At 54.4% G+C, this 20,375-nt stretch overlaps 8 non-coding genes across 8 annotated transcripts, besides 8 other annotated features; 3 read left to right on the forward strand and 5 right to left on the reverse strand.

Annotated features, from left to right (window-relative positions):
• Positions 1–10,651: 10,651 nt before the first annotated feature.
• On the reverse strand, positions 10,652–10,723 carry TRG-TCC4-1 (tRNA-Gly (anticodon TCC) 4-1). Its single transcript has one exon. It is a non-coding gene; the product is annotated as a tRNA-Gly (tRNA).
• Positions 10,802–11,041: a silencer, noted in NCBI's record as "silent region_1480". NCBI's record gives its function as "represses an Ori minimal core promoter by ATAC-STARR-seq in GM12878 lymphoblastoid cells {active_cell/tissue: GM12878}" and the evidence as "EXISTENCE:reporter gene assay evidence [ECO:0000049][PMID:35858748]".
• TRD-GTC2-1 (tRNA-Asp (anticodon GTC) 2-1) lies at positions 11,306–11,377 on the reverse strand. Its single transcript has one exon. It is a non-coding gene; the product is annotated as a tRNA-Asp (tRNA).
• Positions 11,984–12,841: an enhancer, noted in NCBI's record as "H3K27ac-H3K4me1 hESC enhancer chr1:161411293-161412150 (GRCh37/hg19 assembly coordinates)". NCBI's record gives its function as "activates a minimal SCP1, AML or CMV promoter by ChIP-STARR-seq in naive and primed H9 embryonic stem cells {active_cell/tissue: H9 hESC(naive and primed)}" and the evidence as "EXISTENCE:reporter gene assay evidence [ECO:0000049][PMID:30033119]".
• Positions 12,014–12,096, forward strand: TRL-CAG1-1 (tRNA-Leu (anticodon CAG) 1-1). Its single transcript has one exon. It is a non-coding gene; the product is annotated as a tRNA-Leu (tRNA).
• Positions 12,842–13,699: an enhancer, noted in NCBI's record as "OCT4-H3K27ac-H3K4me1 hESC enhancer chr1:161412151-161413008 (GRCh37/hg19 assembly coordinates)". NCBI's record gives its function as "activates a minimal SCP1, AML or CMV promoter by ChIP-STARR-seq in naive and primed H9 embryonic stem cells {active_cell/tissue: H9 hESC(naive and primed)}" and the evidence as "EXISTENCE:reporter gene assay evidence [ECO:0000049][PMID:30033119]".
• Positions 13,700–14,557: an enhancer, noted in NCBI's record as "OCT4-H3K27ac-H3K4me1 hESC enhancer chr1:161413009-161413866 (GRCh37/hg19 assembly coordinates)". NCBI's record gives its function as "activates a minimal SCP1, AML or CMV promoter by ChIP-STARR-seq in primed H9 embryonic stem cells {active_cell/tissue: H9 hESC(primed)}" and the evidence as "EXISTENCE:reporter gene assay evidence [ECO:0000049][PMID:30033119]".
• Positions 13,785–13,855, forward strand: TRG-GCC1-1 (tRNA-Gly (anticodon GCC) 1-1). The gene has a single exon. It is a non-coding gene; the product is annotated as a tRNA-Gly (tRNA).
• Positions 16,828–17,381: an enhancer, noted in NCBI's record as "H3K27ac-H3K4me1 hESC enhancer chr1:161416137-161416690 (GRCh37/hg19 assembly coordinates)". NCBI's record gives its function as "activates a minimal SCP1, AML or CMV promoter by ChIP-STARR-seq in primed H9 embryonic stem cells {active_cell/tissue: H9 hESC(primed)}" and the evidence as "EXISTENCE:reporter gene assay evidence [ECO:0000049][PMID:30033119]".
• Positions 17,382–17,934: an enhancer, noted in NCBI's record as "H3K27ac-H3K4me1 hESC enhancer chr1:161416691-161417243 (GRCh37/hg19 assembly coordinates)". NCBI's record gives its function as "activates a minimal SCP1, AML or CMV promoter by ChIP-STARR-seq in primed H9 embryonic stem cells {active_cell/tissue: H9 hESC(primed)}" and the evidence as "EXISTENCE:reporter gene assay evidence [ECO:0000049][PMID:30033119]".
• TRE-CTC1-2 (tRNA-Glu (anticodon CTC) 1-2) lies at positions 17,709–17,780 on the reverse strand. The gene has a single exon. It is a non-coding gene; the product is annotated as a tRNA-Glu (tRNA).
• Positions 18,066–18,137, reverse strand: TRG-TCC2-2 (tRNA-Gly (anticodon TCC) 2-2). The gene has a single exon. It is a non-coding gene; the product is annotated as a tRNA-Gly (tRNA).
• Positions 18,092–18,975: an enhancer, noted in NCBI's record as "H3K27ac-H3K4me1 hESC enhancer chr1:161417401-161418284 (GRCh37/hg19 assembly coordinates)". NCBI's record gives its function as "activates a minimal SCP1, AML or CMV promoter by ChIP-STARR-seq in primed H9 embryonic stem cells {active_cell/tissue: H9 hESC(primed)}" and the evidence as "EXISTENCE:reporter gene assay evidence [ECO:0000049][PMID:30033119]".
• Positions 18,724–18,795, reverse strand: TRD-GTC2-2 (tRNA-Asp (anticodon GTC) 2-2). Its single transcript has one exon. It is a non-coding gene; the product is annotated as a tRNA-Asp (tRNA).
• Positions 18,976–19,857: an enhancer, noted in NCBI's record as "H3K27ac-H3K4me1 hESC enhancer chr1:161418285-161419166 (GRCh37/hg19 assembly coordinates)". NCBI's record gives its function as "activates a minimal SCP1, AML or CMV promoter by ChIP-STARR-seq in naive H9 embryonic stem cells {active_cell/tissue: H9 hESC(naive)}" and the evidence as "EXISTENCE:reporter gene assay evidence [ECO:0000049][PMID:30033119]".
• On the forward strand, positions 19,432–19,514 carry TRL-CAG1-2 (tRNA-Leu (anticodon CAG) 1-2). The gene has a single exon. It is a non-coding gene; the product is annotated as a tRNA-Leu (tRNA).

A 20,375-nucleotide genomic window follows, 5' to 3' on the forward strand; every position in this document is an offset into this window, starting at 1 on the left:
AATTGCCTACTACCACTTTAAGTAGAGCTCAAAAGGGCTGAGAATGCAGATCAGACTAGCGATGAACACTGTTTATAAACAGAAGGATCATGCCAGGAAGAGGCATAGGCTGGCAAGAAAAGAATGGGAATGGTGCATACTCTGTGAAATCAAAATTAGAGAGGCACGATTGCAGTGGTATAAGAACAAATGTACAGCCAAATGTCAGTGTAGAGAACATATATGAAAATATCTTTCCTGATATGCACAGAAGCTGTAGGGTGAAGTAGACAGAGCTCTGCAGTTTCCTTTGGGGGAAGCCATAAGACTCACAATAAGATCTATACAGAAATGAACAAACGGATGAAGAGCAGAGCTGATCTGTGGGAAAGAGAAAATGGGAAAATTTAGAGATCAAATCTGGGCACAGAATATAGGGGCATTCTCAGTGTGTTTCTTGTTATTTTGAGATGAGATTGAGACCATCAGCTAGAACTCTATCCTGACACCCAACCACCAAAAGCTCTTTAGTCAGCTTAGCTGCTGTGTTTCACCCACTGATTCCTTTAACTCCACATTTCCACCCTTGCTGCCAGAGTGTTCTAACTAGCTGGATCTCTAAAGATTCATTTTATACATCCAGAATAGGCAAGCAACTCGAACATGTTGGCAGTAAGCAAACACACACACACACACACACACACACACACACACACACACATGCCCCCAATATAATCCCATTAGAAAGTAGGCAAAGGACATTTCCCAAAAAAAAGACATGGGAATGGTCAACCAACAGTTGTATGAAGAAAATGCTCAACATCACAAGTGGTCAGAAAAATACAAATCAAAACCACAATGAGATATCATCTTACCCCAGTTAGAAGAGACATTATTTAACAGACAAAAGAAAACACCCCAAAACCTAACAAATCCAGATGATGAGGCAGAAAAAAGGTGGGTCTTAGACACCGTTGGCAGAAAAGTAAATAAGTACACTCACCATAAAAAAAACAGCATAGAAATTTCTCAAGAAAAGCAGGCTGGGCATGGTGGCTCACCCCTGTAATCCCAACACTTTGGGAGGCCAAGATAGGTGGATCACCTGAGGTCAGGAATTTGAGACCAGCCTGGCCAACATGGTGAAACTGCGTCTCTACTAGAAAGACAAAAAAATTAGCCAGGTGTGGTGGTGCATGCCTGTAAGCTCAGCTACTTGGGAGGCTGAGGCAGGAGGATCGCTTGAACCTGGGAGGCAGAAGTTGCAGTGAGCCAGGATCATGCCATTGCACTCCAGTCTGGGCTGGAGCAAGACTCCGTCAAAAAAAAGAAAGAAAGAGAGAGAGAAAAGAAAGAAAGAAAAAGAAAGAAAGAAAGAGAAAGAGAAAGAAAGAAAGGAAGAAAGAAAGATAGAAAGAAAGAAAGAAAGAAAGAAAGAAAGAAAGAAAGAAAGAAAGAAAGAAAGAAAAGCAAACAAAGGTACAACTTCTGTAGAATCCAGGAAACTCACAGCTGAGTATTTATCCAACGCAAAGGAAATCCGGATATCAGACAGATACCTGCGCCCCCATGTTTAATGCCGTACTATTCACAATGACAGAAATATCGAATCAACCTAAATGTCCATCAGCCGCGAAAAAGATAAAGAAAATGTGGCATATATACACCATGGAATACTATTTGGCTATTGTATTAGTCAGAGTTCCCTAGAGGGACAGAACTAATAGAAGAGAGCGAGACAGAGAGAGAGAATTAATTATATATTATATATATCATATTACATAATTTATATGATATATATTTATTATATGTTATATATTATATATAAAATATATTATATATAAATATATTATATATTATTTAGAAAATATATTATATATTATTTATAAAATATATTATAAATATATATTTTATAATATATAATTATATAATAAACTCCATATATATATACATATATAGCTCATATTAGTTCTCTCCCTCTAGGGGACAATGGCTAATATATATGGAGTTTATTATATAATTATATAATAAATTATATATACATAGAGAGAGAGAGTTTATTAAGTATTAACTTACACGATCACAAATTCCCAAAATAGGCTGTCTGCAACCTTGAAGAGAAAGGAGAGTCAGTCTGAGTCTCAAAACTGAAGAACTTGGAGTCAGATATTTGAGGGCAGGAAGCATCCAGCACGGGAGAAAGATCTAGGCTGAGAGGCTAGGCCCGTCTCACGTTTTCACATTTTTCTGCCTGCTTTATATTCACTGGCAGCTGATTAGATTGTGCTGACCAGATTAAGGGTGGGTCTGCCTTCCCTAACCCACTGGCTCAAATGTTAATCTCCTTTGGCAACACCCTCACAGACACACCCAGGATCAATACTTTGCATCCTTCAATCCAATCAAGTTGACACTCAGTATTAACCATCACAAGTACACCCCTTGTAAACTCAAACCCATACACGTCTTCTGAGATCATACATAGTCTTCAAATAAAGACAATAATAAGGTCATAATTATGCCTAACATAATACAACTATCCTTTGTACAACCAGAAATGCACCAATCCCCAACCCAAATACTATTACACAAAGTTAACATACTTAAATTCTGATATGAAGTCAATAAATCTTATGTCACATGATAAAGAAAAAGGAAATAAAATGATGATATTTTCTTAGTACAAGTGTATACATGCACAAACATGTTTTTAACAAAAGAAGGAGGAAATACACATGACAATTACAGTCCTCGTTTCTGCAGCTGGTCACATGGTGATAGCTGGTATTGATGACTACCCTCTTCTACTACTCATTCTGTATTCTCTTTGCCTTCAGCAAGCACCTCAGCAGTTCATAGTTTTTTTTTCCTGGTGGAATGACCCAAACTTTCATTCTTGAGGGATCTGGACCATTTGTAGTCTTGCCTGGATTGGGCGGTTGTAGTTTCCCATTGACTATAATCATAGGGCAGGGTAATACTAAGAGATGCCCTAATGGATCTCCTGTATTCCATGCATACTCTTCCTTACCTCCATTATAGAGTAGTATACTGATTTCATCTTGATAGTCTGGATCAATCACCCCAGCCAACACTGTAACTCCCTTCTTAGCCTGTTGACTTAAAGGTAGGAGGAGCCCAAAGTGTCTAGGTGGCAATCTCAGCTTCCGGTTTAATGGAATCATTCTTGTGTCTCCTGGTGGCAGTGTTCCTCCCCCTGGAACTAAGACCTCCAAGCCAGCAGAATGTAATGTCATGGGAACAGGAAGAAAAATTTTGCTTGTGGAACACTATGGGTGATGGTGAGTTGTGCCACTTCTACTTCCATCCCTTGATTCCTGGACCCGTGAATCCTGGCTATGGGAGAAACACTATCATATATTGGATGCTGATTTAGAGCATACATGGCTTTCTAGAGAACTTTGCCCCAGGCCTGCAAAGTATTGTCACCTAGTTGGCATTGTAATTGTGACTTCAAAAGGCCATTCCACCATTCTATCAATCCAGCTGCTTCAGGATGATGGGGAATATGGTAAGACCAGTAAATTCCATGGGCACGAGACCACTGCCACACTGCTTTTGCCATAAAGTGAATGCGTTGGTCAGAGGCAATGCTGTTGGGAATACCATGATGGTGGGTAAGGCATTTCATGAGTCCACGGATGGTAGTCTTGGCAGAAGCATTGCATGCAGGATAGGCAAACCCATATCCCAAGTAAGTGTCTATTCCAGTGAGGACAAAGCTTTGACTTTTCCATGATGGGAGAGGTCCAATATAATCAACCTGCCACCAGGTAGCTGGCTGATTACCCCGAGGAATGGTGCCATATTGAGGACTCAGTGTTGGTGTCTGCTGCTGGCAAATTTGGCACTCAGCAGTGGCTGTAGCCAGGTCAGCCTTGGTGAGTGGAAGTCCATATTGCTGAACCCATGTGTAACCTCCATCCCTGCCACGATGGCCACTTTGTTCGTGGGCCCATTGGGCGATCACAGGGGTGGCTGGGGAAGGAGGCTGAGTGGTGTCCATAGATCGGGTCATCCTATCCACTTGATTATTAAAATCCTCCTCTGCTGAGGTCACCTGTTGGTGGGCACCTACATGGAATACAAAAGTATTCACAGTTTTTGACCACGCAGAGAGGTTCATCCACATACCTCTTCCCCAACTTTGTCACAAATTTTCCAGTCATGCTTCTTCCAAGTCCCTGACCATCCAGCCAAACCACTGGCCACAGCCAATGAATCAGTATATAATCACATATCTGGCCATTTCTCCTTCCATGCAAAGTGCACAACTAGGTGCACTGCTCAAAGTTCTGCTTACTGGGAAGATTCCTCTTCACTGCTGTCCTTCAGGGGTGTCCTAGAAAGGGGGGCTGTAGTGCTCCAGTTGTCCACTTTTGTGGGGAAAAGAAAGAGAGATCAGACTGTTACTGTGTCTAAGTAGAAAGGGAAGACATAAGACACTCCATTTTGAAAAAGACCTGTACTTTAAATAATTGCTTTGCTGAGATGTTGTTAATTTGTAGCTTTGCCCCAGCCACTTTGACCCAACCACTTTGACACAACCTGGAGCTCACAAAAACATGTGTTGTATGAAATCAAGGTTTAAGGGATCTAGGACTGTGCAGGACGTGCCTTGTTAACAAAATGTTTACAAGCAGTATACTTGGTAAAAGTCATCGCCATTCTCTAGTCTCAATAAACCAGGGGCACAATGCACTGTGGAAAGCCACAGGGACCTCCACCCTTGAAAGCGGGGTATTGTCCAAGGTTTCTCCCCATGTGATAGTCTAAAATATGGCCTCACAGGATTAGAAAGACCTGACTGTCCCCCAGCCCGACACCCATAAAGGGTCTGTGCTGAGGTGGATTAGTAAAAGAGGAAAGCCTCTTGCAGTTGAGATAGCGGAAAGCCAGTCTCCTGCCTGCCCCTGGGAACTGAATGTCTCAGTATAAAACCCAGTTGTACATTTGTTCAATTCTGAGATGAAAGAAAAACTGCCCTGTGGTGAGAGGTGAGACATGTTTGCAGCAATGCTGCTTTGTTATTCTTTACTCCACTGAGATGTTTGGGTGGAGAGAAACATAAATCTGGCTTACGTGCACGTCCAGTCATAGTACCTTCCCTTGAACTTAATTATGACATAGATTCTATTGCTCACGTTTGTTGTTGACCTTTCCCCTTATTATCACCCTGCCCTCCTACTACATTCCTTTTTGCTGAAATAATGAAGATAATAATCAATAAAAACTGAGGGAACCCAGAGACTGGTGTCGGTGCAGGTCCTTGGTATGCTGAGCGCTGGTCCCCTGGGCCCACTGTTGTTTCTCTATACTTTGTCTCTGTGTCTTATTTCTTTTCTCAGTCTCTCATCCCACCTGACTAGAAATACCCACAGGTGTGGAGGGGCAGGCCACCCCTTCAACTTTTGGGTGGTGTCTGCATATTGAGCAAAACCATCTGTGAACCAGACCCTAGTCTTCTCTTCCTCTGTCAACTGATCATAGGGAACTTCCAATGAAGCCATCGGTGCAGGCTGGGGGAAAGAAGGCAGGGTGGCAGGAGTGGAGACCATGGCCATTTGAGCCACTTCCTCATGTAATTTACTTGTGTCTTCAGGACCAGCTTGGGCCTGATAACATATATACCACTTCGATTGGATGATGGAATGCTGCTGTGCATGACTGACTTTATGGCTAGATGGGTCAGAAAGCACCCAGTTCATGATAGGTAGTTTAGGTCGCATGGTGACTTGACCCACACTCAAACGTTCAGTTTCCACCAAAGCCCAGTAACAGGCCAAGAGCTGTCTCTCAAAAGGAGAGTAGTTATTTGCAGAAGATGGCAGGGCCTTGTTCCAAAATCCTAGAGGCCTCTGCTGTGATTCACCTATGGGGGCCTGCCAAAGGCTCCAAACAGCATCCCTATCTGCCACTGACACCTCAAGCACCATTGGATCTGCTGGATCATATGGCCCAGGTGGCAGAGCAGATTGCGCAGCAGCCTGGACCTGTTGCAGGGCCTTCTCCTGTTTTGGACCCCACTCAAAACTGGCAGCCTTTCAGGTCATTTGATAAATGGGCCAGAATAACACACCCAAATAAGGAAGATGTTACCTCCAAAATCCAAATAGGCCCACTAGGTGTTGTGCCTCTTTCTTGGTTGTAGGAGGGGCCAACTGCAGCAACTTATCCTTCACCTTAGAATGAATATCTTGACAGGCCCCACACCATTGGACCCCTAGAAATTTTACTGAGGTGGAAGGTCCCTGAATTTTAGTTGGATTTATTTCCCATCCTTTGGCACACAAATGTCTCACGAATAAGTCCAGTGTGTTTGCTACTTCTTGCTCACTGGATCCAGTCAGCATAATGTCATCAATGTAATGGACCAGTGTGACATCTTGCAGAAGCAAAAAGTGATCTACATCTCTCTGAATAAGATTATGACACAAAGCCGGAGAGTTGATATACCCTTGAGGTATATTGCTGGCCTTGCCAGCTGAAGGCAAACCACTTCTGGTGGACCTTCTGGACAGGAATGGAGAAAAAGGTATTTGCCAACTCAATGGCTGCATACCAGGTACCAGGAGATGTATTAATTTGCTCAAGCAATGAAACCACATCTGGTACAGCAGCTGCAATTGGAGTCACCACTTGGTTAAGCTTATGATAATCCACTGTGATTCTTCAAGATCCATCTGTCTTCTGCAAAGGCCAAATGGGAGAGTTGAATGGGGATGTGGTGGGAATCACCACCCTTGTGTCTTTCATGTCCTTGATGTCACCATCAAGGGGTGTGATATTGTTTTTTATTTACTATTTTTCTAGGTAGGGGCAGATCTAATGGCCTCCATTTGGGCCTTCCCACCATAATAGCCTTACCAGTCAGGGAGCCAATGTGGGGGTTCTGCCAGCTGCTAAGTATGTCTATGCAAATTATGCATTCTGGCACTGGGGAAATGACCACAGGATGAGTCTGGGGACCCACTGGATCCACTATAAGTCGGACTGAGCTAAAACTCCATTAATTACCTGACCTCCATAAGCCCCTACTTTAACTGGAGGGCCACAACGACATTTTGGGTACCCTGGAATCAACGTCAGCTCAGAGCCAGAGTCCAGTAGTCCGTGAAATATCTGATCATTTATCTTTCCTCAATGCATAGTTACCCTGGTAAAAGGCCAGAGATTTACTTGGGGAAGGATTGGAGAAAGATTCATTGCATAAATTGTGGGTAATGTAGTGGGGTCCTTCCTCAAGGGGAACTGGCCTCTCCTTCATTCAAAGGGTTCTGGGTCTGTAAACTGGCTCAAGTCTGGAAATTGATTGAGGGGCCATGATTCTCTGTTTTTATCATTCAAATTAGCCTTTTGTCCCTTCAATGTAGAATTCTCCTTATATAAATTAAGTAGAAATTCAGTAGGCTTCCTACCAATTTAACTTCTAGGAACACAGTGATTAATTAGCCAATGCCAGAGCTCTACATGAGTCAGACTATTGTGATTGCTGCTTTGTCTCTGCTGTCCATTACGGCAGCTACACCCACCTTGTCTTTGACGACTGAGTGCCACCACTTGGCCCCTGACACCTTGGGATCCAATTATTCCCATTGTAAGTAAATTTTGTAGTTGGTTGACTGCAGTTCCCACTGTTAGATCTGACATATAGAGAAGAGTAATTACAGGGCTCTTCAAAGATGCAGGTGCTGCCCTCACAAATCTATTTCACAAGGCATTAATTGCAAGGGTATATCTTCTGGACCCTCCCAGCTGGGATGAGTAGGTCGAAAGTGACTAATTCACCTCACCATCCCAATCTCCCTAAGCCTTTGGATCCATTCCTCTACATTAAACCAAGGGAGATCAGGCATTTCCAGCTTGTTAACAGTGGGCCATCTTTTAATCCATATTTCAGCTAACCAAGCAAATAAGCTATTAGAACCTTTTTTTTTTTAAACTCCCTGAGCTGCAACATTAAATGGAGAGTCCCTACTTAGTGGGCCCAAATCAATAAATTCAGCCAGATCCACCTCTGTGTTCCTTCCACCATTATCCCATACCCTCAATATCCATTCCAATGCCTGTTCTCCAGATTTCTGTTTATATAAATTAGAGAACTCAAGCAGTTCTTTTTGAATGTAGTGCAACTCCTCATGGGTCACACTTTCAACCTCACCTCTAGGAGCCTGCCAGGACTTTAGTTATAGGTCTAGAAGCAAACAGAGGTGTTGGGAGTGGCTCCTAAGGAGAATCAACATTATTTTGCCTGGCAACTGCCTCAGAGGAGGTCATCACTGTTGCCTCAGGCAGCACAGGGTTTATCTCCTCAGACAAAGGTGGAGAGGCTGATGGCAGCATGGGTCAAGGAGGGGATGCTGCCACTACTGGGGATGGGGAAGCTGTTCCTTCTGGCCAAAAAGGTTCATCAGAGTTTACAAGCTCAGTGTCCCCAGCTTCATCAGGTAACTCCCACACATCCCCATTCCAAGGTGCAGGGTCCCATTCTTTTCCAATCAATGCCCTCACTTTAACAGCAGACACCTGGCAAGGCTGTGCATGCACCTTTCATTGCAGATCAGCCACTGACATAAGAGCTTGTGTCTGTTTTTCCACAATTTCAGCTGTTTCCCTACAGGAGATAAGACTCTCACTCAGGAAAATCTTAGCAGATTTGAGGCTCAGTATCTGCTTCTGAAGCTGAAAGACAGAATCCCTGAGTTCATCATTTTCTTTCATCAATTTGTCCACTGAACTTAGGGGCAAAAAAACAGCTTCATTACATTCATTGGTTCTCCACATATGTCCAAAGGTATTATGTATAGAGTCACTAAACTCCTTGACTCTCACAAGTGGTGAATCAGGAGTGTCAAATGCATTTGTTTTGCATAACTTTCTAAACAGTTCACACCAAGGACTATCAGTGTTTTCCATCGCATTAGAAGTAGAGTCTTTAGCATTATTGGGTCTAATCATATTAAGTAGCTGACTCCAGAAACCTCAAAACCAATGAGAGAATTCCATCCTTAATATTCTATTCCTCTAGAACTACTTCTGGTACCAAAATCTGTACAAGTTAGGGTTCCCTAGAGGGAAAGTACTAACGTGATATATGTATATATATCCACACATACAAACACACACACGCACACACATAGAAGTTTATTAAGTATTAACTTACACAATCACAAAGTCCCAAAATACACTGTTTGCAAGCATGAGGAGGAAGGGCAGCTAGTCCAGGGGTCAAAACAGAAGAACTTGGAATCCAATGTTAAGAGGGCAGGAAGCATCAGGCATGGGAGAGAGATGTAGGTGGAGAAGCTAAGCCACTCTCCCCTTTTCACGTCTTTCTGCCTGCTTTATATGGGCTGGCAACTGATTAGATCGTGCGCACCAGATTAAGTATGGGTGGGCCTTCCCCAGCCTATTGACTCAAATGTTTATGTCCTTTGGCAACACCATCACAGATACACCTAGCATGAGTACGTTGCATCCTTCAATCCAATCAAGTTGACACTCATTATTAACAAACACAGCCATAAAAAAAAAAAAGAATGAAATCCTGCCATTGGCAGCAAAATGACAGACACTGGAGGTCATGATGTAACATCAAATGAGCCGGGCACAGAAAGACAGAGAGGGCAGGTTCTCACTACTATCGTGGCTGCACAAAAAGTTCACCTTGTGGAGGTAGAGAGTAGAACGATAGACACCAGAGGCTGGAGAGGCTGTGTAGGTGACTGGGGTGAAGAGAGGTTGGCGAAATGGGTATGAGCATGTGGGTAGATGGAAGGAATACGTTCTAAAGTTCTATGGCAGACTAGGGCGACTAGAGGTAACAACGATGTATTAGAGTGTGTTTCCAAAGAGCTGGAAGACAGCACATGAGTTGTTTCCAACAGGTAGAGATGACAGATACCCACTGGATGGATACCCACAGATACTGTACAACCCCTCAGTTGATCATGGATCATTACGCAATGTACAAGCATCACCACATGTCACAGGAATCCCACCAATATCATGTCTGCATGAAGAAAAACATAGTCATGCTACAAGAGTGATTGTCACAGCTCTCCCTCCCCAGCGCCATAGCCCGTGGTCTCGGCTCCTCAAGTTCTGCTGCCATTTCTACCAAAGCCGCTGACACCCGTGGAGCCCAATCAGGGATCCCGCGCTCAGGGTCTGGCATGCCTTGGAAAAGCCAGTGAGCTTGCTGGCATGAGTGGCTCTGGCGGGTGGCCCAATCATTAGGCGTAGATCCCCCTCAGCCGAGAGAGAAGTGGCCCCTCAGCCACCCGGCTTGGACTGGCGGAAGCCGCTCTGCTCCACACTACTGGAGCATTCCGTGGCCAGAAGAGAGTGCGAGGGTGCTGCTGGTGGTGGTGGTGGGTCACCTGGCGACAATCCGAGGAGAAAGCCTGACCTGGCCAGTGGGCTTGGCCGCTGAGAAACAGTGGCAGCGAGGTGAGCACATGACAAGGAAGAGCTGCAAAGCCGATGTTGCGAAGGTGGCGTCAGCCAGGCCAAAAGGACAGATGGGTGGAGGTAGGTAGCACACCCTCCAAACACCGCAAGCCTCCTTCCCCGGCGCACAGGCACGCAGCCACAGGCCAAGCTGCGACGCGAGCTCCGCGCGCGGGATCTCCGCAAAAGGTCCGCCCGATGCGTTGGGCGGGAATCGAGCCCGGGTCAACTGCTTGGAAGGCAACTATGCTCACCACTATACCACCAACGCCGCACGGCGCGGGCAGCCCCGCCGCGCCGGCCCGGGGCTCCCACCAGCGCGCCGCCGACGCCCGGGGCAGGCCGGCCCCGACGCCCGGTCCGTCCGCCCGCCCGCAGCTCCGCGCTGCCGCGGCCTCTCCAAAGGCCGCCCCGCGCCCCACCGGTGCAAGGCCAGCGCGGCTGACCCGTTACGCCCGCCTGCCTCTGGGGGCGCTCTCGCTCACTCGCCGCCTCGGGCCCCCAGAGCCCTTCCCCAACAGGTGCCCGGGGGGGAAACGGCCGGCGCCGGCAGGGTCCCCACTCCTACGCTTCCCACCGGGCGCAGGGCCCCGTGTGTCGCAGAAAGCCTCTTCCGACAACCACTTTGAGCCGGCAGCTCGTTGGGCGCCGTGCAGGGCCAGAGGAGGCCTCCCGGCTGCCGCTACCAAGCCGCGGACGAGAAGAAAAGACAGGAGGCCAAGGAGGCCCAGAAGGCCAAAGGGCCAGGCAGGCCAGGCCCGAGATGGCACCCTGCGACTAGCTGGAGGGCGGAGGAAGGAGAAGGAGGGCCCACAGGCTGGGTCCGAGGCGGCGGCCCAAAAAGCACGGCTGCCTCCCCGTCGGGGAATCGAACCCCGGTCTCCCGCGTGACAGGCGGGGATACTCACCACTATACTAACGAGGACGACGGCGACGGTCGCCGGGACGCCAGACCCCACTCCGACCGCGGACGCCTAGCCCTGCCTTGATCCCCTCCCCCGACGGCAGGGGCCGGGCGCGTGCTCGCCTTCCACCCGCCGCCCGCCGCCCGCCACCCGCCACACGCCACCCGTCACCTGCCACCCGCCCCCCGCCACCGTTGGCACGACCTACCCCGACACCCAACAAAGCACCCTGCGATCCCGCTGGGACCCGGAGCCGGAGCCGGACCCCGACAGGTACCGGAGCGGCGTGGAACCTCCCCGCGCGCCCTGCCTGCTGTCTCCAACGCGGGGATCGCGCCGGGGCAGGAGGAGGCGCGGGCGAAACAGTCAGGCCGCTGCTCCTAGGACGCGGTGGGCGCACGCCCTGCGGGGTTCGGCGAGCGGAGGCGCGGGGGCTGGGGCGTGCGCCGGCGGCGGCCGGCCCGACGCGGACCCTTTGGGTCCGGGGTGGGGACGCGGGGGCGTCCACGCCAACGCCAGCCGGCTCCGTTCACTTGGCGCCCGCTCCCCCCGCGCGGTCCGTCGGTTGCGCACCGAACCCAGACAGGCGCCGGCCAAGGGCGCAGGCGTTCGCGCCGGGTCCCAGCCATGCCAGCGGCGAAGCGCCCCGGCGCGCCGTCAGGATGGCCGAGCGGTCTAAGGCGCTGCGTTCAGGTCGCAGTCTCCCCTGGAGGCGTGGGTTCGAATCCCACTCCTGACAAGCCGACCTTTTGGCCCGCCCGCCGGAGGGCAACGCCCATGGCAACCCTGGAGCACCTTTGGCCGCTTCCTGCCTTGAGCCCTTGCCCGCTCTCCAGACTCCAGCCCCCTTGAAGCAAGCCTCCAAAACGCCGCCGCTTCTCAGGCACGTCCGTTCTTCCTGCCCACCCGCCGGCTGTCGCAGAAACAGCCCAGGACCATGCGCCAGCGCCCGCGACCCTCTACCAATTGCCCTTCGGACAGACGCCCTCCCCACCACCTCACACGCCCTCTTCCCTGGCCCCACACACAGCGAGCGACCGCGACCACCTTCCACGCTCTTCCCTGCCTATCTCCTCCGCCCGCCTTCTCCTCACTCGCCCAAACAGACACAGCCCAGATTCTTCCCCTATTCCTCCTTTTCCCTCCTTCCTCCCACCGGCCTCCGCCCACCGCCCACCGCCTTGAATCGCCGCTGCGCTGCCCAGAGGCGTCCTGGCCTGAACAGCCCGCCCGGTTTCACCCTCCAACTTCTGACCGCTGAGCAGCAGCGAGCGACTCGCTCGTGGAGCCGCACACACGTCTCCCACCAGAGGCACGCCATCCAACATCCTGTCCTTTCCTCCGACCCCTCGGACCCCGGCCGCGCATTCCATTCTGCCGACACCCTAGCCAGGTCGCCGATCCCACCTCGCTACCTGTGCTCCCTTCCCGCTAACACCTGCCTGCCGGCCCACCTGCAGCCCGGACGCCTGCCGGCCAGAGGCAGCGGGAACCCTGCACACAGCCGGGCAGGCGAGTCCAAACCCGGAAAGACAGCCCAAGAGGAATCACGAGCGGAAGCCCTAGATCCCCGTCACCCGCCCACAAACGCCTGGCCCCGCCGGGACCAGCTCTGCGCCACAGCGCATCCCCACGCGGGAAGCCGCGGCCTGGGCCGTCCCAGCCACACCCAGCGCGCCTTCTCCAGGGTCAGCCAGCTGCGGCTCTGCCGAAGCGCTCCTCCGCTCCTTTCTCGCGCTCCAGCCTCCCTACCAGCCCAGGGGGCCGGACCCCAAGTGCGAGCCGGTGGCGTGGGTCAGAGCGCAGGAGCGAGGCGCCCACGGACCTGGTCTGCGTTTCTGAGCCGCACGCCACGGCTGCGAGACCCGTTCCCCATCGCCGCCCCCGCTCGCTGACACACCCATCCCGCCTCTCACCTGCTGGTGACACAAGTGAGAAGGCTGGCCCCACGGTGGTGAAAAAAAAAAACACCACACGAAAGAAAGAAAGAAAGAAAGAAAGAAAGAAAGAAAGAAAGAAAGAAAGAAAGAAAGACAGAAAGAAACAACAAAAACAAAACACAAAAACTCTGGGTCTGTGCCGGGGATCCGCGCTCAGCAAGGCCCGCCACAGCAAATCTGCCCACACGGGCATTCGGGCGCGGGCCACGGCCGGTCCTTCCCCTGGAGACCCCGGCGGGCAGTCTCTCGACCCTGGGCGGCAGAGAAAGCGCAAGATGGGACGAGTCGGCCTCTCTCCCTCCGCTCTCCCTCCGCGCCCCGCCTCAGGTCCCTCGACGTGACGAGAGCCTCCCCTTCTGCTCGCCCCATCGGGCCAGCCTCTCGTGGACGCTGCAATAGGACGGAGGCCCACGGCAGGCGGTGACCAGTGAACGGCGGCTGGTGGCGAGTTCCGCTGTGCCAGCTTCCGTTGGCGTTTGCCATCGGTGCATGGGTGGTTCAGTGGTAGAATTCTCGCCTGCCACGCGGGAGGCCCGGGTTCGATTCCCGGCCCATGCAGCACGCCCTCCCATTTTGGTGCTGCAGCAGCACCAAGGCGTAGCTGCGCTCGCCTCTGCCGCCTCCTTACACTCGGGGCGCGCGAGCGAGTCCGGCACCGGCTGCGCTCCCACGCGCGACGGCCCTCTGCCCTTTCTTCCGTGCCTCTCTCGACTGACTTAGGGATGAGCCTACCCCCCGCACCCACACACCTTGGTGACAACAACCCCTCCAGACACGAGAGCGCGCCAGACACCAGAACTTGGCAGCCTCCTGGTCCTGTTTCTCTTCATTGCCCTGCCACCGCCTCTGCCCGACGCATTTCACTTCACGGAACACCGCCAGGCACCACGGGCTTGCAGCCACTCGCACCACCCCTTCTCTTCACATTTCACCGCCTCGACCTCTCTCTCTCTCTCTCTCTCTCTCTCTCTCTCTCTCTGTCTCTCTCCCCCCCACCCCTCGCTGGCTCCCCACATCCAGAAAATGATGCCATGGTTGCCCTTCCAGTAGGAAGGAAGTCGCGACTCCAGGGAGTAACTCATCACTTTCCCCTAGTTGGTCACACAGTCCTTAACGCGACCACACGAGTGTACGCGTGGCATGTGCACCGTCTATATTCACCGTGTTCCGGCTACTCCACACTCTCTCCCCTCATTCTGCCGGCACCACCACCGCCATGTCGCAACTCCCAACCTAACCCCAATCCACCACTTTAGTCGAGGATGCTGCCTTGTTTCTCCCCCTCGGACCTCTTTTCATCTCAGCCCCAGACACATGCCTGAGACGTGAATGTGCGTCCTGAAGACGGCTTATTTATGTCTCGGGTCCAGTTGCATTCCCTACCCTTTTGGGACGTGGGACGTGGCCTCCAGTCGCTCTGTCACGATGTCTCTCCCACCCTGGGCTGCTTGCCACCTCACCCCAGCCCCACTCCATACTCTGACCGCCCAGCCCAAGCAGCATCCCAGTCTCGCCGGCGCGGGTCCCCTTTGACCACACAGACTTCGTTCCTGCCCAGACCAACCGGCTGAAAATGTAGTGTTCCCAGCAGCCTTCAGGCTCAGCCCTCCCTCCCCCACCTTTGTCTCACGCCACCCACCCCTTCACTCACACACACACTCTGACGCGCACACACACACACACACACACTCACACTCTCACTCTCTCTCTCTCTCACTCTCTGTCTTTCTCTGTCTCTCTCTCTCTCTCTGTCTCTATGTCTCTATCTCTCTGTCTCTGTCTCACACAGCCAACTCTCCGTCTCGCCGTCAATGCCCCTCTCTCAGACGACTCATATCCCCCAGCCCTGGCCTCCTTCAGCCTCTTCAGACTCACGCCAGCTCCGCCACCAGCTGGGATCCCTCCGACCTATGGCATAGGCAGCCCGCGAGGTGCCCTAACGCCCCAGGCATCTGCACAACCTCCGTTTGACTGCACAGCCTCACTCCCAGACCTGGCCAGCCAGCCCTGTGCACCCCCTGGACACCCTGGACTCCTTCTTCCAGCTCCCAGCACGCGACATGCTTCTCTCCTTTCCTTGGTGTCAGCCCCTTGCCCCGGGCTAGGGTGGACGCCAGCCACGGGATCGGACACCTTCTTCCGTCGCTGTCACCCACTGACATCCACCCACAACACGCTGGCAAGCAAGCCAGCCTCCCGTGGGGATGGCAAACATCTCTATCCCCGATAGGGTCTGGTCCCTGCAGGTGATCCGACTGTGCCAAGATCCCACGAATGACACGGGACAGGTTTGTGCAGTTGGTTGGACGTCTACTTTGCCCCTACAGAGGGGTTTTGGCAAGAAGTCGACTGACTTCTGCCATTGACCTGGGGAATCAGCCAAACAATAAGATCAGTACGGGTTGAATAGAGGTTGGAGAACTGGGCTCATCTGTGCTAAGGAGGGGATGGGAAAAAAGTCCCACAGCGAATCTTGGCGCTGGGGATAGGTACCATCTCCACATGTTCCTTGACATTTGGAGAGACGATAGAGAGCGTAGGTCAGGCAATGGGAAGCAAACTTCGGCTAGAAGTCTGTCAGGAACCCCAACCCCGCACATGCGCTTTGGTCAGCCTGGCCGTTGGGTTTTCCCCACGAACTGCTGCATCTCCACGCTTCAATGCCCGTGGCCAGGTTGGTCTGACTAATGGGACCTCTCAAGATTCATTTTCACATCCAGAATAGGCGAGAATCTCAAACCTGTCGACGGTGAGCGGGAGCATGTGTACGCACATGCACGTGTACGTTGCGGGAAGTCAGGGACCCCGAACGGAGGGAGCGGCTGGAGCTGCGGCCGAGGCACGTAAATTGTGAGGATTTCATTTCAATACGGACATTCATCAGTTCCCAAATAATGCTTTTATAATTTCTTACGCCTGTCTTTACTTTAATCTCTTAATCCTGTTATCTTCGTAAGCTGAGGATGTACGTCACCTCAGGACCGCTGTGACAATTGTGTTGACTCTACAAATTGATGGTAAAACGTGTGTGTTTGAACAGCATGAAATCAGGGCACCTTGAAAAAGAATAGAATAACAGCGACTTTTAGGGAACAGGGGAAGACAACGGTAAGGTCTGACTGCCTGCGAGGTCGGGCAGAAAGAGCCATATTTTTCTTCTTGCAGAGAGCCTATGAAGGACGTGCAGGTAGGGAAGATGTGGCTAAGACAACCTAAGTGTCCATCGGCCGGGAAATGGATTAACAAAAATGTGGCATATAGACACCATGGAATACTCTTTGGCCATAGAAAAGAACGAAATCCTCTGGTCTGCAGCAACAGAGGCGGAGCTAAAGGTCACGATGGAACATCAAACGAGCCGGGCACAGAAAGACAGAGAGGGCAGGTTCTTACTCCAATCCTGGGAGCTCAAAATGTTCACCTTGTGGAGGTAGAGAGTAGAACGATAGACACCAGAGGCTGGAGAGGGTGTGTGGGTGACTGCGGTGAAGAGAGGTTGGTGAAATGGGTCCGAGCATGCGTTTGGATGGAGGGAATACGTTCCAATAATGTTCTACGGCGGAGTAGGGCGACTAGGGGTAACAACGATGTATTAGTGCTTGTTTCCGAAGAGCTCCTGGAAGACAGCACCTGAGATGCTCCCAACAGGTAGAGATGACAGATACCCACGGGATGGATGCCCTACATCCCCTCAGTTGACCATCGATCACTACGCGATGTACACGCGTTACCACACGTCACAGGAATCCCATGGATATCATGTCCGCATGAAGAAAAACATAGTCATGCTGCCAGGGTGATTGTCGCAGCTCTGCCTCCCTAGCGCTATGGCCCGTGGTCTCGGCTCCTCAAGTTCCGCTGCCATTACTACCAAAGCCGCTGACACCCGTGGAGCCCAATCACGGATCCCACGCCTTGGGAAAGCCAGTGCGCTTGCTGACATGAGTGGCTCTGGCGGGTGGCCCAACCATTAGGCGCAGATCCCCCGCAGCCGAGAGAGAAGTGGCCCGTCAGCCACTCGGCTTGGCTTGGCAGAAGCCGCTCCGCTCGAGAGTCCTGGCCCATCCCGTGGCCAGCCGAGAGTGCGAGGGTGGCGGTGGTGGTGGTGGCGGGTCACCTGGCGGCCATGGGAGGAGAAAGCCTGACCTGGCCAGTGGGCTTTGCCGCTGACAAAGAGTGGGAGCGAGGCGAGCACCTGACAAGGAAGGGCTGTGAAGCTGATGTTGCGAAGGTGGCGCCAGCGAGGCCAAAAGGAGGGATGGGTGGAGGTAGGCGGGGAGCGTTGGGGCGGCGCACGTGGAAGCCGAGGGAGGTTGTGGCTGGGGCGCGGGAGAAGCGAGCCAGCCTGTTGGTCAAAAGGGGAGGTGTGAAGGGGCCTGGCAGTTGGCAGGCAGAGCCAACGAAGGAAGGCTTCCCTGACCGGGAATCGAACCCGGGCCGCGGCGGTGAGAGCGCCGAATCCTAACCACTAGACCACCAGGGAGAGGCGGCTTCAGGGCCCGGCTTGCGCCTCCTGGCCCCAGCGCCTCTGGCCCCAGCACTGGGCGCTACCTTGGCGCCTGTCCCCTGCTTCGCTTTAAAACAAACACCGCAACCAGCCCCCGCGACGCCGGCGGCAACCGGCCTGCCCTCACGAGCAGCTCTGGCCCTGTTCGCAGCACACCCTCCAAACACCGCGCGCCTCCTTCCCCGGCGCACAGGCACGCAGCCACAGGCCAAGCTGCGACGCGAGCTCCGCGACGGGGACCTCCGCAAAAGGTCCGCCCGCTGCGTTGGCCGGGAATCGAACCCGGGTCAACTGCTTGGAAGGCAGCTATGCTCACCACTATACCACCAACGCCGCACGGCGCGGGCAGCCCCGCCGCGCCGGCCCGGGGCTCCCACCAGCGCGCCGCCGACGCCCGGGGCAGGCCGGCCCCGACGCCCGGTCCGTCCGCCCGCCCGCAGCTCCGCGCTGCCGCGGCCCCGCCAAAGGCCGCCCCGCGCCCCACCGGGGCAAGGCCAGCGCGGCTGCCCCGTTCCGCCCGCCTGCCTCTGGGGGCGCTCTCGCTCCCTCGCCGCCCGGGGCCGCCAGAGCCCTTCCCCACCAGGTGCCCGGCGGGGACACGGCCGGCGCCGACGGGGTCCCCACTCCTCCGCCTCCCACCGGGCGCCGGGCCCTGTGCCTCGCAGAAAGCCTCTTCCGACACCCACTTTGGGCCGGCAGCTCTCTGGGCGCCGTGGGGGCCAGAGGAGGCCGCCCGGCTGCGGGCGACCAAGCCGCGGGCGAGAAGAAAAGGTAGGAGGCCAAGGGGGCCCAGGAGGCCCAGGGGGCCAAGGGGCCAGGCCCGAGATGGCGCCCTGCGACTAGCGGGAGGGCGGAGGAAGGAGAGAGAAGGAGGGCCCACAGGCTGGGTCCGAGGCGGCGGCCCAAAAAGCACGGCTGCCTCCCCGTCGGGGAATCGAACCCCGGTCTCCCGCGTGACAGGCGGGGATACTCACCACTATACTAACGAGGACGACGGCGACGGTCGCCGGGACGCCAGACCCCACTCCGACCGCGGACGCCTAGCCCTGCCTTGATCCCCTCCCCCGACGGCAGGGGCCGGGCGCGTGCTCGCCTTCCACCCGCCGCCCGCCGCCCGCCACCCGCCACACGCCACCCGTCACCTGCCACCCGCCCCCCGCCACCGTTGGCACGACCTACCCCGACACCCAACAAAGCACCCTGCGATCCCGCTGGGACCCGGAGCCGGAGCCGGACCCCGACAGGTACCGGAGCGGCGTGGAACCTCCCCGCGCGCCCTGCCTGCTGTCTCCAACGCGGGGATCGCGCCGGGGCAGGAGGAGGCGCGGGCGAAACAGTCAGGCCGCTGCTCCTAGGACGCGGTGGGCGCACGCCCTGCGGGGTTCGGCGAGCGGAGGCGCGGGGGCTGGGGCGTGCGCCGGCGGCGGCCGGCCCGACGCGGACCCTTTGGGTCCGGGGTGGGGACGCGGGGGCGTCCACGCCAACGCCAGCCGGCTCCGTTCACTTGGCGCCCGCTCCGCCCGCGCGGTCCGTCGGTTGCGCACCGAACCCAGACAGGCGCCGGCCAAGGGCGCAGGCGTTCGCGCCGGGTCCCAGCCATGCCAGCGGCGACGCGCCCCGGCGCGCCGTCAGGATGGCCGAGCGGTCTAAGGCGCTGCGTTCAGGTCGCAGTCTCCCCTGGAGGCGTGGGTTCGAATCCCACTCCTGACAAGCCGACCTTTTGGCCCGCCCGCCGGAGGGCAACGCCCATGGCAACCCTGGAGCACCTTTGGCCGCTTCCTGCCTTGAGCCCTTGCCCGCTCTCCAGACTCCAGCCCCCTTGAAGCAAGCCTCCAAAACGCCGCCGCTTCTCAGGCACGTCCGTTCTTCCTGCCCACCCGCCGGCTGTCGCAGAAACAGCCCAGGACCATGCGCCAGCGCCCGCGACCCTCTACCAATTGCCCTTCGGACAGACGCCCTCCCCACCACCTCACACGCCCTCTTCCCTGGCCCCACACACAGCGAGCGACCGCGACCACCTTCCACGCTCTTCCCTGCCTATCTCCTCCGCCCGCCTTCTCCTCACTCGCCCAAACAGACACAGCCCAGATTCTTCCCCTATTCCTCCTTTTCCCTCCTTCCTCCCACCGGCCTGCGCCCACCGCCCACCGCCTTGAATCGCCGCTGCGCTGCCCAGAGGCGTCCTGGCCTGAACAGCCCGCCCGGTTTCACCCTCCAACTTCTGACCGCTGAGCAGCAGCGAGCGACTCGCTCGTGGAGCCGCACACACGTCTCCCACCAGAGGCACGCCATCCAGCATCCTGTCCTTTCCTCCGACCCCTCGGACCCCGGCCGCGCATTCCATTCTGCCGACACCCTAGCCAGGTCGCCGATCCCACCTCGCTACCTGTGCTCCCTTCCCGCTAACACCTGCCTGCCGGCCCACCTGCAGCCCGGACGCCTGCCGGCCAGAGGCAGCGGGAACCCTGCACACAGCCGGGCAGGCGAGTCCAAACCCGGAAAGACAGCCCAAGAGGAATCACGAGCGGAAGCCCTAGATCCCCGTCACCCGCCCACAAACGCCTGGCCCCG

The sequence above is a fragment of the Homo sapiens genome, chromosome 1 (assembly GCF_000001405.40).
Source record: "Homo sapiens chromosome 1, GRCh38.p14 Primary Assembly".
NCBI lineage: Eukaryota > Metazoa > Chordata > Mammalia > Primates > Hominidae > Homo > Homo sapiens.